Source organism: Homo sapiens, chromosome 6 (genome assembly GCF_000001405.40).
Source record: "Homo sapiens chromosome 6, GRCh38.p14 Primary Assembly".
Lineage (NCBI taxonomy): Eukaryota > Metazoa > Chordata > Mammalia > Primates > Hominidae > Homo > Homo sapiens.
The window spans coordinates 69,741,097-69,760,764 of NC_000006.12; the positions used below are offsets into that span (position 1 = coordinate 69,741,097).

A 19,668-nucleotide genomic window follows, 5' to 3' on the forward strand; every position below is an offset into this window, starting at 1 on the left:
CTCTTACTAATTAAAAATAAAATCTAATATATCCAGTACATTTCTTTAACATATTATTTTATATTATCCTAAGTGAATTAAAAATCACATAGAAATTATAAGAGCCTCACTGCTAAAATACTTTGAAGATTAAATTTTCTTTCAACATGGTAATTTTATAAAGAAGTCAAGAAAATAGCTACGTAATAGCTAGATGGCTAAAAGCAAGCCTTAAGAATGCAACACTTCTAATTTGTCTAGCATTAGGTTCAAAATGACGAGTTAGAAAAACTGTGGGGTTAAGTTCTTTTTTTTTTTTGAGATGGAGTCTCGCTCTGTCTTGCTCAGTCCCCCAGGCTGGAATGCAATGGCGCAATTCAGCTCACTGCAACCTCCACCTCCCAGGTTCAACCGATTCTCCTGCCTCAGCCTCCCGAGCAGCTGGGATTACAGGCGCCTGCCACTGCACCCAGCTAATTTTTGTATTTTTAGCAGAGACGGGGTTTGGCCATGTTGGCCAGGCTGGTCTCAAACTCCTGACCTCGTGATCCACCCCCCACCCCTCGGCCTCCCAAAGTGCTAGGATTACAGGCATGAGCCACCACGCCCAGCTGGGGTTAAATTCTTAACAAAATACAAATAAACTGCTTCTCAAAAGTCCAAAGTATCAGGAAATATAAACTACTATGTTTTTTAAAAAAAACAATACTTACGACTACTTCCAAGTTCTTCAAATAGGGACTTCACTTTTTCCCACTCTGTAGAATTTTTGTTATTGGGAACATTCAATGGAACAAAGGCACTACAAAAGAGAAAATAATTGTTTTAATAGCTTTAAAGATAAAAAGTTAAATTAAATGGTTTGAAACTCAAATTATTTTTCTCCAAAACAATAAATAAATAAAATCTGTACTATGCACAGAGGGGAGTGAAAAGTTTCTTATCTATGCATTTACTTCCTTGTAAATTTAATAGTTGTATTACTGCATTCAGAAAAATTAGTTTCCTTTGTAATCCCGTATGTTTTTTGCACTTAAAATACTTTATTATACTTTAATAAAGCTGGTAAAAAACAAAAAATTAATATATAATATTTTGAGAATGGACCACAGGTTTAAAACGATCAAAACAATCCACAAAAAAGGTTAAGGACATCTGTATTAAATCAGTAAAGCAGAATGTAAACATATGCAATTATTTAAGAAACAAAAGAAATACATTAGAATAAACAGTAAATGTCTCACTGTGGAATCGGGAGTGATTATTACTTTCTTATTAGTATTTTTCTATTAATATATCTTTCAAGATTCTATCCAACAGACACAATGAAAGTAGTTTCTATTTGTTTTTCAACCCACAGGTGAAAAGGAACTGTAGAAATAATAGAGACAGCTAGCATCCTAGGACCTGCTCTATGATCTTAGACTGGGAAACGATAGAATAAATAAATGTGCACTTTATTATCTAGCCCATATCAATAACAAGAAGATAATCAAGAGATTAAGGTAAAGAGCTGGGTATCCCTTAGGTTGTATATGTGTAGGAACAAACAGGAGTAGGAAGTAACTCTAATACCACGTCCTTCCCAACCTAATTTTAAGTGTAAGCAAAGTGATAAGATTTATCCTCTGTTGTAAAGAGGAAATGAATTAGTTCAATAATATATTAAGGTACCTGCTCTAATAATGTTTTCATGTAAAACAAAGTAATTACTCTAAAATTTTCTTTTTAATTAAAAAAATCCCTATTTCCTGTTGCTACTGATAACTCTTATTTAAAAAATGACTGGGCACAGCATGTCAGGGGGTTACTTAAATTTCTAACTATCTGCATTGACTTCAGTTTACTATATTCTTCTTAATCCTAGAGACTTATTTCTCACCACTTTTAGAAAAAAAAAAGTGCTTACAGGCATAGAGCAATAAATGTAGAAAGTTTATTATTTGTTGCCCCAGGTATGAAATCAAACAAATGAAAGCAGAGGTGTGGAATCAAGAAATAAAATTATAACATTTTTGTATATTACACATCCATAACAGAAATATAAACTAAGCAAGAAAAAACTACCCATATGATATTCCTTTATTTGGACAGTTTGTTCTGGATATCCCAAAAAGTATGCTCTGAACTTGTTAGCTGGGAATAACCAATCTGTGAGAGTGGGAAAACAAAAATTTCTATGTTGTACAAAATACCACCCATCATACTATTAAAAAAGAAATACGTATTAGGATATCTAAAAATAGCATTCATCTCATAGGGTTTAATACGCAATATTCTAAAACTCAGTATGTCAGTTTTAGGTAATCAAAGATATTGTACAGAAAGAGACTAAAATTAATTAACCCTTGCTCTTGATGACACATGTTCAACTCCTGAGCAGAATTATCTAGCAGTTCAAATAGAGTAATACCAGAGGGAAACTTATATAATCAAAAAAACTAAAAAGACTAAGTTAAGTGACCCACACTACTATCAGAATGACTTCAGGAAAATACTTTGAAAGCATCCATCAGAGAGTTAAACATTTGAGCACATAGTATTTTAGGTATAAACGAAAGCACAAATTCAAAGCAGGTTCTTAAATTACTTTACCATCAGGATTTTATAATCTAAAAATCAGACCTAAAATATTTTCACATAAACTAAGAAAATATCCATAAGTAGAACTCAAAATATGGCAAAGGCACTAATTAATCAACACAGACCCTGGCCTTAATTCTGCAGGACACTGATGAACCAGGCTTTCCTCTTTCAATGGAGCTGAGGTAGGGGAAGAAGATCCAGAGGGCAGAGCAGCACCTGACTGGTATAAAAGCATGTCAACCTTTTAACCACCAGAAGGAATAAACCACTGTTCATTGACCAAATATCAGCCCCATAGACAAAGATCTATAAAGAAAAAGAAATACCTCCCAACAGATGAAAAGGCAACTGAAGTCCAATAAAGTTATAATATAGATATATCAGTTCTGAGGAAAGAAACAGCAGTTAAAATTATCAGGTATACTAAAGCATTTACTAAAGTATCAGGTATACTAAAGTATACTAAATGAAATGGTGATGATATTAAAGTAACCGAGAGTTAGAATACAATGGGATTTGTGTGGTAGAAAGGTGCACATACTTTTAAAATCTCAGCCCTTCTAAAAAAAATGTATACAGAACACCTCAGCTTCCAAAAACACAAAGTACTAGATTAAGCCATTTATGCCTATTGTTCCATTATTGGAATACTAAGCTTGTGAGAGTTATTTATATTTTACTACTCAAGGTCATCATCAAGGTCTGATTTTTCACCAAAAAAATTTGCAACCTCTGGCATAAATGGGTTAAAATACAAACTACAGCCTAGTAAGATTATACTTTTCCCTCATGCCCTTGAAAATAACAAAACTAAAAAACTGCTTAGTAAAAATATTTCCTACCCAATCTGATTCACTGAATTAACTTCACACACATTATCTCTTCAGAAACAGACAAAGGAAAAGCTAATGAATTTCAGTAGATATGAAATGGAAATGATGAATTCAGCATAACTGAAAATAAGATGTTCACTTCTTACACTCCATCACCAAGTCAATTCATATTTATCTTCCAAATAGCTTATGTTTCTTCCTCTCTGTTCTCTTTGTAACCACTGTAGTTCCAATGCTCACCTGAACTTATATAATGGCTACTTAACTGATCTTCCTACCTACTATTTACATACCACTTCTCCAACCCAACACCCAAAATCCTCTTGCAATACATCCTTCACAGTGCTGTAACTCTTTTTTTTTTTTTAAGACGGAATCTCACTCTGTTGCCAGGCTGGAGTGCAGTGGCACAATCTCAGCTCACTGCAACCTCTGCCTCCCGGGTTCAAGCCGTTCTCCTGCCTCAGCCTCCAGAGTAGCTAGGATTACAGGCGCGCACCACTATGCCCAGCTAATTTTTGTATTTTTAGTAGAAGTCACCATGTTGGCCAGCATGGTCTCGATCTCTTGACCTCGTGATCCACCTCCCTCGGCCTCCCAAAGTGCTGGGATTACAGGCGGGAGCCACCATGCCCAGCCCACAGTGCTGTAACTCTTAAAGCAAAGTCATACATATTTATTTTCATGCATTCATTTACACAAATATATACACATCTTCACTGTCTTACAATTACCGGGTAGGACAAAATTAAAAATTTCTTTTTTTTTTTTTTTTGAGACGGAGTCTCGCTCTGTCGCCCAGGTCGGACTGCGGACTGCAGTGGCGCAATCTCGGCTCACTGCAAGCTCCGCTTCCCGGGTTCACGCCATTCTCCTGCCTCAGCCTCCCGAGTAGCTGGGACTACAGGCGCCCGCCACCGTGCCCGGCTAATTTTTTGTATTTTTAGTAGAGACGGGGTTTCACCTTGTTAGCCAGGATGGTCTCGATCTCCTGACCTCATGATCCACCCGCCTCGGCCTCCCAAAGTGCTGGGATTACAGGCGTGAGCCACCGCGCCCGGCCAAAAATTTCTTAAACATGGCATGTAAGACCCAGAGTCTACTTACCTGGCTAATGTCATATCCTGTCACTTGCCCACAGGAACACCTGAAACATCATATTACCCTTCCTTTTTTGAGGGGAGGGGAAATCTAAATTCACATCACACTTTTTATGTCATTCTTCAAACACTCCATGCTAACCTCAGCCTCCCAGTTAATATATTTTATAGACTGAATTGTGTTCCCTAAAAATTCATATGTTGCTGGCTCTCTGCTCCCCCATTCTACAGAAAGCCTCATCTTCTCAGCATCACCAGACACATTACTGAGACATCATGGTGAAAGTGAAGGCCAGACTAAATGGATTTGGCCATAGTGGTGCCTGGTCACCAGAGCTCCTTTTAACTCTGGCAAAGTGAATATTGTTGCCATCACTGACCCTTCAGTGACCTTCACTACACGGCCTAAATGTTCCAGCACGATTCCACCCATGGCAAGTTCTAGGGCACTGTCAAGGCTGAGAACTGGAAACCTGTCATCATTGGAAATCCCATCACCCTCTTACAGTTGCAAGATTTCACCAAAATTAAATGGGGTGATTTGGGCGCTGATTATGTTGTGGAATCTACCAGCATCTTCACTACCATGAAGAAGGCTGAGGTTCACTTAAAGCAGGGAACCAAAAGGATCCTCGTCTCTGCCCATTCTGCTGATACCCCCATGTGATGGGCATGAACCATGAGAAGTACAAAAATGGCATTAAGATGGTCAGCAATGCCTCCTGCACTATCAACTGCTTAGCCACCCTGGACAACTGTGGCATCATGGAGGGACTCATGACCACAGTTCATGCCATCACTGGCACTCAGAAGACCATGGATGGCCCCTCTGGGATACTGTGGTGTGACAGCTGTGGGGCTCTCTAGAACATCATCCCTGCCTCTGTGTTGCCGAAGCTGTGTGCAAGGTCATCCCTGATCTATAGGAAGCTTACTGGCATAACTTTCCATGTTCCCACTGCCAATGTGTTGGTTGTGGACCTGATGTGCCATCTGGAGAAACTTGCCAAATATGATGACATAAAGAAGATGGTAAAACAGGCATTGGAGGGTCCCTTCAAAGGCATTCTGGACTACACTGAGCAACAGGTTGTCTCCTCCAACTTTACTAGTGATACTCATTCCTTCACCTTTGATGCTGGGGCTGGCACTGCCTTCAACAACCACTTTTTCAAACTCATTTTCTGATACGACAATGAATTTGGCTACAGCAACAGGGTGGTGGAACTCATGTTCCACCCGGCTTCCAAGGGGTAAGAGCCCCTGGATCACCAGCCCCAGCAAGAGCACAACAGGGAGAGAGAGGCCCTCAGCTGCTGGGGAGTCCCTGACGCACTCAGTCCCTTACCACACTGAGAATCTCCCCTGGACACAGTTTCTGTGTCAGACCCCCTGAAGAAGGAGGGACCTAGGGAGTACCACCTTTGTCATGTACTATCAATAAAGTCCCCTGTACTCAACTCTCCAAAAAAAAAAAAAAACAAAATCCATATGTTGAAGCCCTAACCCCCAATGTAATGGTATTTGGATATACGTCATTTAGCAAGGGAATTAGTGTTAAATGAAGTCACAAGGGTGGGGCCCTAATCATCCCATGGCATTGGTGAGGAAGAGACACCAGAGAGTGCTCCTTCTCTCTCCTCCACCCTCTCACTCTCCCCCTCCCCTTCTCTCTCTGCAAGCACAAAGGAAAGGCCATGTGAAGACAGAGCAAGAAGGTGGCCTTCTATAAGCCAGGAAGAGAACTCTCACCAGAAACCAAATTTGCCAGCACCTTCAACGTAGACTTCTAACCTCCAGAACCATGAGAAAATAAATGACTGTTATTTAAGCCACCCAGTCTATGATACCTTGTTATGGCAGCCAAAGCAGATGAAAACATTATACATGTTACTCATCTTTTTTATTTGTCAAGTCAGCTGACCAATTCCCATTCCTTCGAATCTCAACTCAAATATTACTTCCTCTTAGATCTCCTGATTCTGCAATGCAGAGTAAGAACCTGCTCCTCTACCATCAACATCTGGTATGTATCTCCTATCAGAGCACTTAAACACTGTAATTAAAGGTATGTATCTGCATGCCTCCACAATGTAAACCTAGAGGACAGAGACCATGGTCCTCTACCTTTAGCCCTAAGATCTAGCACAGTATCCAACACATAAGTGTTTCAAAAACGTATGAGCTACATGAATTAGTTAAATCTAGATCACGGCTTTGCCATAAAATTATCTAGTTTTATTAGCAAAAGCATATCACTTAAAAGAAACTCTGAATATGCCACCTTCAAAAATATTTCAAGACCTTTTGTCAATCAGTTAACCTAAATGCACGCCTCATTCAAATATTTACGTATGATAATGAGAAGAACACTGTCCTAGATGGCTGAAATGCTAATAGTCTTTAATTCACTATTTTCTTATTCTCACTGTTGCAAAGATTTGTAGTTTTATTGATGATTCTCACTCATGTTCTAAAATAGGAGTTGGCAAACTATTGGCTGCCTGTGTTTATAAATAAAGTTTTCCTAGAACACAGTCATGTTCTTTGTTTATGTATTGTCTATGATTACTTCTGAGCTACAAGAGAGACACAAAGACCATACAGACAATAAATCTAAAATACTTACTATCTATGCTTTAAGAAAAGTTTGCTGATTCCCGCTCCAGATAATTCAGGTTTGCATACAAGGGACCTCGATGTTAACAAGGGAAATTAACATAAGTAGATTTGGCTTTCTTTAAAAAGCCAAAAAAATACTTTAGAAATATACTCCAGAGCTAAAATACATAGAAAAACCACTAAAAAAAGTGCTTACAAAAGTACTCTTTTTCATGACACATCAAGGCAGGTAAAAAGAACTGAAAATATGACTTGACTATAAAACACATGCATCCTAAGAACTCCTGGAACTACAAAAAGTTCAAGAATTTTATTCCCATTACTCAACAATTTTATTCCCATTACAAGTTACATGTAATAAGTAATTTTTTTATTTATGGAAAGTTATTTATTGAAAATTGTGAGACTAAATTATAAACAGAAACTTTAAAAAATTTATTAACTCCTAATATATTTCCTAACATAAAAAATGAGACTAATGACCTATTTTTAACAAAGATAAATGTCTTCCATTAACAAGGATAAATTTTAGAAGTACAAACAAATAAGCAAAATCTTACTGATATTAGTATAAAAACAAGAAGAATTAAGAAAGGGAATTCATTGACAAAGATTTAAAAGACTGATAGGGTCAAATCTGAAAAGATGCACAGACAAGAATTTTCATCAAAGTGTTATTTATAATGGGGAAACATTATAAATGTCTAAGCAGTCATCACTAGAAGATCAGTTAAATATATTTTTGTATCCTTAGAAGGAAACGCAATATAGTCAAAATTGATGGAGCTACACTTACTATCCTGCAGAGATGCCCACAATATGTTAACAGGCAGATTACCAAGAATTATATAAAACATAATCACATTTGTGTAAAAAGCATGTAGAATGCATGCAAGAAGGGAGGTGAACTCTGCTTGCATTCAAGCACATAAAAATGTCTAGATGAAACAACATAGACAAAACTGTTAAATTGTGGCTATTGTTCCTTGGAGATTTAGAGAGTGGATTGTTCTTTTTTCTTACATTTTTTTCTTTCCTAGATTTTTCTGAATGATCCTTTTATTTTTTTTTTCAAATAATTCTATTTCCATTTCATGGTTTAAAAAAAAAAAATCAAGACTTACCCAACTAAAAGAAGCAGTGCACAAATCACAACAAATCCCAAAGTATACTTGAGTGCCGTTTTAATTTGCTAGATGCCAAGGAGAAAAAAGTATAACATTTAGCAAGCCCTTTAAAATATAAAATATTCTTGCAACACTTTAACAGTACCTTCACATCAGATACATGCTTACACTCAATATTGAAACTAAGGTTGAAAAACAACCTTAAAATTTAAAGAAAACAGGTATACTACATCTTAAGTATCTTTGCAAAACATGAGATTTTTTAAATCTTTTCAATAGTTAGGCCCTTGTAAAAACCAATCCACCTAAAGCATAGTTAATTCTCCAGTAGGCATCTTTAGTAAAATTATCAGAATATGTAATAAAATATTCCCCCAGACAGCAATCAGAATCTACAATGCCCCAACCCAATTCATCAAAATGGTTTATAACAATAATAAACACAATATATACGTTTGTGTTTGAGTATATACATGAGTATATATTAAATATATTTGTATATATACATACTCATATATACATATATAAGTATATATACACATATACATACTCATATATACATATATAAGTATATATACACATATACATACTCATATATACATATATAAGTATATATACACATATACATACTCATATATACATATATAAGTATATATACACATATACATACTCATATATACATATATAAGTATATATACACATATACATACTCATATATACATATATAAGTATATATACACATATACATACTCATATATACATATATAAGTATATATACACATATACATAAATATATGTGCATATATACTTACATACATTAATATATATCTTATACATATATAACATATATCATGCCAGGCACTGATAAGAACGTCACATATGTTAACTCATTTAATTCTCATAATAACTCTAAGATAGGTTGTTCTCATCTTTAGACATAAGGAAGCTTAAGTCCAGAGAAGTTAATAATCTGTCCTAAGGCACATAGGTCATAAGTGATTAAATAAGTACTTAAGACCAGGAACTTGGGAATTTAAAAACCATGTTTTGCTTGGTGCTTATAATATACTCCAAAGGCTAAGAAAAGCAAATAAAGACAAAGCTGGACATTCTGAATACGAATAAAAAAGTTAATAATAATCTCATTTTAAATCGGTCAGAAATAACATTTGTCCTCTCAGACTAACGAAGTATCTAAAAATCATCTTTTAAAATCTGAATTAATGTTTCACATAGTTCTTATTCACAAAGGGGGTAAGATATTCTTTAGGAAAAAAACTAAAGAAAAGGTAAAGAAGATCCTAAGATCAACCAAAGGGTAGAAGAATGTGCACTTTGGAAGAAGTGAAAGAGAACGCATACATCTCGTGGAGATCTTATCAAATTTGTAACTAGCTACCTTACTTTACATACCTTGGTTTTTCCAAATATAGAGTAAAATAGTATCTGCAAATAACAATTTTGACTCTCTTCATAAATATTTAAATACCTAACTTTTTTTCTAGGAGTCATTTAAAATACTGTTAATTTACTTGCTCCTAATCTTAATGCAAATGCTCTTGAAGTTTTAAGCATGATTAAGCATGATGCTAGCTTTTGACTTAATACATTTATTTCTGTATTTAAATACAAATATAAACAAGGTATAAAACAAAATCCTATAAGTCAAAAAGATAAGACATTTAGTCTTATTGTATAACTGTTCCCCTAAATTACAGTGTTCGATTTTGACATATACCTTTTAACATATATTTTTTTCTTTGACCTATTAATTACTATATATTAATAGATTTCCTGATTTTCAGTCATCCATGCAATTGAGAGACAGGCCCAACTCGGTTATATAATATCAATATATTTCTAAGATGCTCCTGAATTATATTTACTATTATTTTAGTTGTTTATACCAATACTTAAGTGATAATGGTCGGCAGTTCTGAACATGGATGTGTGCTGTATTTGTCAGGTTTTTAAAAAGTCGGTCCTTTTTTTTTTTTTCTGAGATGGAGTCTCGCTCTTGTTGCCCAGGCTGGAGCGCAGTGGAGTGATCTCGGCTCACTGCAACCTCCGCCTCGCGGGTTCAAGCAATTCTCCTGCCTCAGCCTCCGGAGTAGCTGGGATTACAGGCCCTTGCCGCCATGCCCAGCTAATTTTTGTACTTTTAGTAGAGACAAGGTTTCGCCATGTTGGCCAGGCTGGTCTCTTAACTCCTGACCTCAGGTGATCCGCCCGCCTCGGCCTCCCAAAGTGCTGGGATTACAGGCGTGAGCCACAGCGCCTGGCCAAAAAAAAAGTCAGCCTTATCCTGGATTAGTAAGAACAACCTACAAGTGCTCCTTCTTTATGCTTTTGAACAGGGGCCAGCAAACTACATTCAGTGTGCCACATCTGATTCATCTTCTGTTTTACTGGATCATAAAATGTTCGCTGTCTCTGGATACTTTTAACACTATAATGGCAGACTTGAGTGGCTAAGACAGAGACCATATAGCCCACAAATCCTAAATTATTTACTACCTGGCCTTCTACAGAAAAAATTTTGTATGCCTGATCTAGAATTGCTTTGTCTAAAACAATAGTTACAAGCCACATGTGGCTAGAAAGCACTTGAAATGTGGCTAGCTTGATTGTTGTGTAAAAAACAACCCAAATTTCAAAGACTTAGTGTGAAGAAAAGAAACTTAATATTTCATTAATAGTTTGACTATATTTGAAATAATATTTGGAATATATTATGCTAAATACAATGTATAATTAAATTAATTTCAACTGTTTCTTTTTATTTTAATTTAGCTAACATTGTATTTCTATTAGACAACACTGCTCTAGAAAAAATTCAGTCATTCATTCTCTGAAAAAGCAGGTAATATTATTTTTCTTTCCTAAACTAAGGCCTCTAAAATAAAGATACTTACAGTACATTTACTAGTATCATCATCATCCTTTTCTTCATAATAGAAGTAGACAAAAGGGATCCAGAAGAACACACAGAACAATATAACAGAATATAAAGCTGTGGAAATAAATAATAAACCGAGCTTTACTAAATACATATGTACTTAATCATGGTTATCTATCTATATGTATATATATTCACTTAACAAATTCACTCCCCTATCTGATTCCCTCTTCTCATAACTCTTTCTATATAGTACATGATGCCCAAATAGCCTTTTCTGTCCCATGTCCCAAGAAATCAACAGTATTATCAGAATAACAACCCATAATTCAAGTTAACTTTACAGCAATTTCTAACAATAGTAATAACTGGGTCAAGAACAATTGTGGCAGCTGACATATGAGCTCTTACTCTGTACTAACTACAATGCTGAGAACGTCCTATAAACCATCCCATTTAAATGAACTTTAACTTTTGTGTTCATTCCAACTTAAATTTGAGTACACTTGACACAACATTTGCTATTCCAGCAAGTTAAAGAAACAGCTATAAATAATATTCTTTGTGATATAAATAATTTTCTCATCTCAAGTTTAAAAAAATATGCAGTATTATATAACCAATCTTACACAAATCAAAATAGAGAAAAGGTAAAAAGAATAGTAGAACAGTAAAATTAGACTCTCTATTTACCCATCAATGGACCACAGGGGTTGCTTCCAAATTTTGCAATTTGTGAATAATGCAGCTATGAACATGCAAGGACAAATAGCTCTTCATGACCCTGTTTTCAATTCTTAGATTATATTCAAAATTAGATTCAACATTAACTGATAGGAATTACTATTTATCTGCTTTTTTTAAAAAAAATGTTAGATTTGACATACTTTTAACCAGCAGTCAGTCAAAATATTTATCTAAATTCAATATAGAGCTTAAGTTAATCCAAAGATACAGTACCTTTAACAATAAAAACAGAATAAGGAACATTTGAGACTTAAGCCTAAGAAACCTGTTTTAAAATCTGTATATTCACATTCATTTGTTTGTACATATTCATGAAACATAATAGTACCAGTATAATTATATAAAGCAATTACAGAATGATAATCATTGTATTGCTTTATAAAAGAAAGCAGCTGTTACCATCTCAGACCCATTAGGATGGCTACTAACAAAAAACAATAATAATGACAAGTGTTGTCAAGGATGTGGAGGAACTGGAACCCTGTGTGCTGCTGGTGGGAATATAAAATGGTATAGCAGCTGTGGAAAACAGTACGATGTTTCCTAAAAAAATGAAAAATGGCATTACATATGATCCAGCAATTCTACTTCCAGGTGTATGCACACAAGAGTTGAAAACAGACTCTCGAAGAGTTATTTGTACACCCATGTTCCTAACTGCATTGTTCACAGTAACTAAAACATGAAAGCCACCCAAGTGTCCACTGATGGATGGATAGAGAGGCAAAATGTGGTATACAGGAGATCGAGACCATCCTGGCTAACACGGTGAAACCCCGTCTCTACTAAAAATACAAAAAAATTAGCTGGGCGTGGTCGTGGGCACCTGTATTCCCAGCTACTCGGGAGGCTGAGGCAGGAGAATGGCGTGAACCTGGGAGGCAGAGCTTGCAGTGAGCCGAGATCGCGCCACTGCACTCCAGCCTGGGCGAGAGAGAGACTCCGTCTCAAAAAAAAAAAAAAAGTTAGGAAATGATATATGGCTATATGCTACAACACAGATGAACTTAGCATAACCAGGACATTACGCTAAGTGAAATAAGCCAGTCACAAAAAGACAAATACGATATGACTCTACTTATATGAGGTACTGAGAGTAGTCAAAAGCAAGGACACAGAAAGTAGGACGGTGGTTGTCAGAAGGAGAGAGGAAGGGCAGAATAGAGTTACTGTTAATAAGGTATAGTTCAATTTTATAAGATGGAAAGTGTTATGGAGATGAATGGCACCAATGGCTGCATATTATGAATATATTTAATACCACTGAATAGTACACTTGAAATGGTTAAGATGGTAAAAAAAAAATACGGAAAAAATGCATGTTAGTAATGTATAATAAAATCTAAATTACTTATTGTGTTGGAAGAAATGACTTTAAAGAGTTGTCTTAACATTTGCTAGCACTATCTCATTTATCTGGAGGACACTTATGAAACAGCCCTACTACATGCAATACAGATAAAAGAAACTCAAATCAAATAGGACCCTAAATAATCAACAGAGGCGCAGAGTTAATTTATACTTAGCAATCACAAAATGTCTGTCAACATACTGAATTTGGCACTATAGACATTTAATGAAATTTATGCAGGCTTTTAATATTATGAGCAACTAATAGTGACAATAAATCTTTTAGGGCAATGAATATTGGTGTTTCTACTACAAACCAAAGAATAGTGAGTTTTAACATTTCTATTGCAAATCTAACAGCCAACAGACATAAACATTTATCTGCAAGGAACTTAAACAAATTTACAAGAAATAAACAACCCCATCAAAAAGTGGGCAAAGGATATGAACACTTCTCAAAAGAAGACATTTATGCAGCCAACAAACATATGAAAAAAAGCTCATCATCACTGGTCAATAAGAAATGCAAATCAAAACCACAATGAGATACCATCTCACGCCAATTAGAATGGTTATTAAGTCAGGAAACAACAAATGCTGGAGAGGATGTGGAGAAAGAGGAATGCTTTTACACTGTTGATGGGAGTGTAAATTAGTTCAACCATTGTGGAAGACAGTGTGGCGATTCCTCAAGGATTTAGAACCAGAAATACCATTTGACCCAGCAATCCCATTACTGAGTATATACCCAAAGGATCATAAATCATTCTACTATAAAGACACATGCACACATATGTTTACTGCAGCACTCTTTACAATAGCAAAGACTTGGAACTAACCCAAATGCCCATCAATGATAGACTGGATAAAGAAAATGTGGCACATATACACCATGGAATACTATGCAGCCATAAAAAAGAATAAGTTCATGTCCTTTGCAGGGACGTGGATGAAGCTGGAAGCCATCATTCTCAGCAAACTAACACAGGAAACAGAAAACCAAACATCTCATGTTCTCACTCATAAGTGGGAGTTGAACAGTGAGAACACATGGACACAGGGAGGGGAACATCATACACTGGGGCCTGTCAGGGGGTTGGGTCAAGGCCGGGGGAGAGCATTAGGACAAATACCTAATGCATGCAGGTCTTAAAACCTAGATGATGAGTTGACAGGTGCGGCAAACCACCATGGCACACGTATACCTATGTAACAAACCTGTACATTCTGCACATGTATCCCAGAACTTAAAAAAAAAAAAAAAAAAATTGTTAACAGGTATTCCAAAGCTTTAAAAACTTAAATACAAAATGCCATTTGTAAATCACCCTAAATACCATGCCAATATTAGGATTAACATAATCAAATAAAATAATTTGTGTAAACTAGAAAAAAAAGTGAATTAGCACAACAGACTTGAGTAGGCTGACAGCCTCACAACAAAAACTGGTTGATAAACTGATAGGTGGAGTAAGATTTAGCTTCAGCCTGAGTATGCCACTGTGTCTGTTACTTGGTGGGCTTGGCCTTTAGATAGCCAAACAGCCTAATGACTATTTTATAAGCATTTCTGGTGCTCCTAATCTTGTGTGATAAACAATCTTTTGAACACCTAAGTTACCATTATATTTAATTAGCATAGCAAAGTATAAGACAAATTCCTGTACCTCAATAAAAAGACAACTTTTTTAAAAAATGGGTGAAGACTTCAATACTTCACATTAGAAAATATACACAATTTCTGGGCATGGTGGCTCACACCTGTAATCTCCGCACTTTGGGAAGCCGAGGCAGGCAGATCACCTGAGTTCAGGAGTTCCAGGCCAGCCTGGCCAACATAATGAGATCCCGTCTCTACTAAAAATACAAAAAAACTAGCCAGGCATGGTGGCAAGCACCCGTAATCCCAGCTACTCAGGAGGCTGAGGCAGGAGAATTGCTTAAACCCAGGAGGCGGAGGTTGCAGTAAGCCCAATTCGCGCCACTGCACTGCAGCCTGGGCAACAGAACAGGACTCAATCTCAAAAAAAAAAAAAAGAAAAAGAAAATATATACATTGGTCAACAAGTACATTTTAAAAGATGCTCAACACCATAAGTCATCAGGAAAATGCAAAGTAAATCTAAATGGCTAAAATTAAACTGGCAATACCAAGTGTTGGCAAGAATGCAGAAACAACTAACATTATCATACTTTACTTGTAGGAGTGAGGTACAACACTGTAAAAAACTGTTTAGTAGTTTCTTATCAAGTTAAACATATACCTATCATGTGACCCAACAATTTTCTTCCTCTAGCAATAAAGTATAACAACTTATGTAAAAGGACCTCTGCCCAGAGAAGCTTGGTTGATTTGCAGAGTCCAGGGCACTTATTGGAGACTTGCAAAACAAGTGCATTTGCCTAAGTGACCAGCTTTGATTACCAAAACTACAGACTCCAAAAAGGAAAGCAAGAATTCTCCAAAAATCATGTTTTTGCACAATCTAAACTAGCCAGTAGTGCATGGTTCCATATCCAGCTGTACAAAACCACCTTTCAATTAGTAACATAGAGAACACACCAAGGGCTAAGTTCCTAGGAGTTAGTCAAAGGTAAGCCACACAAGCAGGACCTCCCTGAAAACATACAAGCATTCAGCAATATTAGGTCTGCTGCATTAACTCTTTTACAATAATGATGTTGAGAGAAATATTATATGCAGTGATCAAAAACTGGAAATGATCCAAATGATCAACAAGTGGATGGATAAGCAAACTGAGTGATATATTCACATAAAAGACGATCACACAGCAATAAAAAAGAAACATGAGAAACAGATGAATCTCATAGACCTTGTGTTGACTAAAACAAGCCCAGACACAAGACTACCTTTCTATGATTGAACATAAGGAAGTTTGAGAATGGACAACACTAATCTGAGAAGTCAAAAAAAAATGGGGCAGCTATTGACTTAAAAGATGTATGGCAACCAAAATTCCCATGTTGCTGGTAAAAGTGCCCACAAAAGTTTTTAGCAATCAACATCTGGGGAAATGAAGTGGAGAACAGACACAATTCTCAACAGACTATAATATCCCTCTAGTAGTCAATGATTCAAAATAGGTTTAAAACTGCTCTAAATATTTGTTTCCCTGATACAACCTTCTAAGCTATCTTCTAATAATCTGTTCTTTCTCAGTGTCCTTTATAAAGATTTCTTCTTTTAGTCCATAAATGTTGAACTGTAAAGAGAGAATTAAATGAACATTTATTTTATAACATTTATCATATGATCAGTTCTAATGTCAAGTTGAGTTTATATATCTGTAAATGGGGGAAAAAATATTGCTGCCTCCACTATCATGAAACAGGAAAAACTGCTTTTTTAAAAGTTCTACATCAAACTCACAGCCATTTTCAAAGGCAAATTATTCTTGACTCTAAAGTTATGACACTCTCATATCCTAACATCTCTATAAAATATGCTTTTACTTATAAATGTTTTTGTTAAAAGATTGCTACTAGCAAATAAAAGATAAACAGATTTTTGGTTTAGCAGACCCACTAACATCAAAGAACACATTAAGAAAAAATTTTTAAGCCTCATGTCCATAGAAATTGAGCGAAATTAAACTCATGAAACAAGTTGGTTTTTTAAAACAACTTATCGAGAACTAGCAAAAAACAAGTGAATAGAGAGCCACTTAAAGGTCATGGACAAAAACTGTACCAAAGAATACATAGTAATTCCTAAGATGTTTAAACATATACGAAGCAACAATCTACCTTTTAAAAGCCACGTATCATTAAATTATAACTCACATGAAAATTAACTTGGATACATTAGACTTTTAAATTGTTAAAAATTTTTTAAACATATCCTTCCCAACTACCAATGAAAATAGCTAACATTTACATCAAAACACAATGACAAAGAAAAGCAGTCAATATTGTGACAGAATAATTAGTCATTACAAAGCTTTTTGTTTTAGAGGTCAAAGTATAAAGATATTCTGGGAATTCTAAAAGCCTTCTAAAATTATCTATTTACCCAGCTGAAAAACTCCTGAGTCGAGACTGATAGTTGCATATCTATACCCATTTCCTTTCAGCTGGCACTCCCTTTCTTGACCTTCCCCCTTCCTACTGCAGCCTACTTGAAACTGATACATGATGGCTTAAACTCTAGCACCATTTTAAAATCTGTGGTGACCTTAAGATGGAAATCATGTCCTAAGGATGGAGAGTAGAGAAGGAATGAACTTAGTACTCTCATGATGTTATGGCACTGCCATACCAGCCCTGGATAGCCTATCTCCATACTTACTTTAAGTGAGACTGAAACACTATATGACTATTTAAACCAGGAACTTCTGAACTGCTAATAGCAGCCACACACAATTCCTGAAACAGAATTTGGTACTAGAAATGGGCAAATTCAAATATTTATTCCTGAGCTATTCCAAGCCCTTGGTCATCTTGTCTGTGAAGGGTAGGCATAATAGATCTCAACTAACTTTTGCCACTGAACATGATAATATCATGAGGTGCCACAGAAAATCCCATGGGTTCAAGATATACTTCTCCTTGCATTAACTGTGTAGCAGCAACCCTACTTCCCCTAATAGGGTCAATCACTCCATCTGATATGGTAACTATTCACTGGAATTAGATCAAAGTGGCCTGGTAGAAATCATACCTTCTAATGGAAGGGAACCATTATTTCATCCTACAGTGGAAGTACTCCCAGATGTCTAGTAAGAATTATAAACCAGTAAGCAAGGTAAGAAGCAAAAGTTTTGTGAGTAACAAACCACTCAAAATTACTAATAAATGAACTACTCAATACTGAATTAGGAATAATAGTGTAAACTTCTATGCTCACTTCTACTTCTTAGTTACTGGTAACAAGTATATATTTTATAGGAGGAAGAGAAACATAAGTGCTCACTGGTCCCTGGCATTCTCTAAAATGTAGACAGACTTTTCAACTCATTTTACAAGGCTAGCAGTCTTAATACTCACACCTGACAAGAATAATAAGACAAAGAAAAATTACAGACCAGTCTCACCTGCAAATTGATTCTTTAAAAGAATCCCAATTAAGAGAGCAGCAAATCAAATCCAAAAATACATTTAAAAAACAAACCAAAAAAAAACCACCAAGATGGCCAATTTAGGTTTATGCTAGGAATGCAAAATTAGTTTAAGTATAATCTAGCCATGTAATACCTGATATACCACTTGAAAGAATAAACCAAAACAAACAAAAAAGCTTTATATGATATCTTATAGATACTTCTGTATCTTAATAGATACAGAAAAGGTCCCTTTTAAATGTATTCATTTAACAAATACCTACTGAGTATGTTTCAACCATCATTCTAGGGAGCAGTATACAGCTAAATCAAAACACAGAAGCCTCTCATGAGACTTAATTCTAGTGAGGAAAAGACACAATATTTAAAATCGTAGTATGTACTACTCAAATTATCTTTAAAAAATTTCTTAAATCAATAAGAACACAACCCAACTGAAAGTTACTTGAAGCAGAAAACTGAAAAAGCCAACAAATTTTTTAAAAACATACAATTTCATTTACAAATAAGTGAAACATAGACTAGTGAACTCTCATTTCACACTCACCAGACTAGCAAAAACTAAACATGTATGACAATATCAAAGTTTAGAATATAGAGCAACTAGAAGGCTTATGTTCTTCTAATAAGAATTACATTAGTACAAACACTTAGCAAAATAGCTTGTCATTATCTACCATACTGAAGATGCATATAACTTATGATCTATCCGTTTGACTCCTATGTATGTACTCTGCACATATACAACAGAAAACATGTGCAAGAATGTTCATTGCACAATTTTAACATCAAAAAACTAAATGTCCACACTGATTAATATGTGGCATAGTCATACACAATGAAATTATACTTTCTTCAATAATCTGTATAAATGTCTAGAACATGAAGATGAATGAAAGCAAGCAAGCCATTTCATATAAAGTTCAGAAATGTAAAACTAAGTAAGAATATAACATGATAAAACTGAAAGGCAAAGCAAGGGATTAACACAAACTAAATTTAGAGTATTTCTAAGGGAGAAATAGAAGAAATGGCATCAGGAAAAACACAGGAGACTTCAAAATGACCACCTCAAACTTCACACTTAATATGATCAATAAATAGTCTGCTAAGCATAAAAGCATATGTCAAGTAAACATCAAAGATGTTGATATTTGCAAGACTGCTGTGGTAGGCAGCTTCTAAAGTGGCTCCTGATAACCCTGCTTCTGTATTCACGACCTGTGTAATCTCAGCTTGAGTGTGGGCTGGCACTAGTGACTTACTGCTAAGGAACAGAATATGAACAAAAATATTGGGATGTCATTTCTGAGATTACGTGACAAAAAGACTGGCTTCCATCTT

The 19,668-nt window shown here is 35.5% G+C and overlaps 1 protein-coding gene, 1 long non-coding RNA gene and 1 pseudogene across 5 annotated transcripts in view; 1 reads left to right on the top strand and 2 right to left on the bottom strand.

The window, feature by feature from the left end:
• LMBRD1 (LMBR1 domain containing 1) overlaps nt 1-19,668 on the bottom strand; it is a 123,001-nt gene that overhangs the window by 67,087 nt on the left and 36,246 nt on the right. For all 4 annotated transcript variants that reach the window (NM_018368.4, NM_001367272.1, NM_001367271.1 and 1 more), the window contains exons 4-6: nt 11,163-11,260; nt 8,245-8,312; nt 693-781 (exon numbers count right to left, since the gene is read on the bottom strand). In NM_018368.4, coding sequence (NP_060838.3) covers nt 693-781; nt 8,245-8,312; nt 11,163-11,260 — 255 coding nt within the window. The remainder of the gene's footprint in view (nt 1-692; nt 782-8,244; nt 8,313-11,162; nt 11,261-19,668) is intronic.
• Nucleotides 1,898-8,241, bottom strand: LOC124901337 (uncharacterized). Its single transcript, XR_007059630.1, has 2 exons — nt 2,892-8,241; nt 1,898-2,785 (listed from the first exon to the last, which is right to left on the bottom strand). It is a non-coding gene; the product is annotated as an uncharacterized LOC124901337 (long non-coding RNA).
• GAPDHP42 (glyceraldehyde 3 phosphate dehydrogenase pseudogene 42) lies at nt 4,706-5,959 on the top strand (annotated as a pseudogene).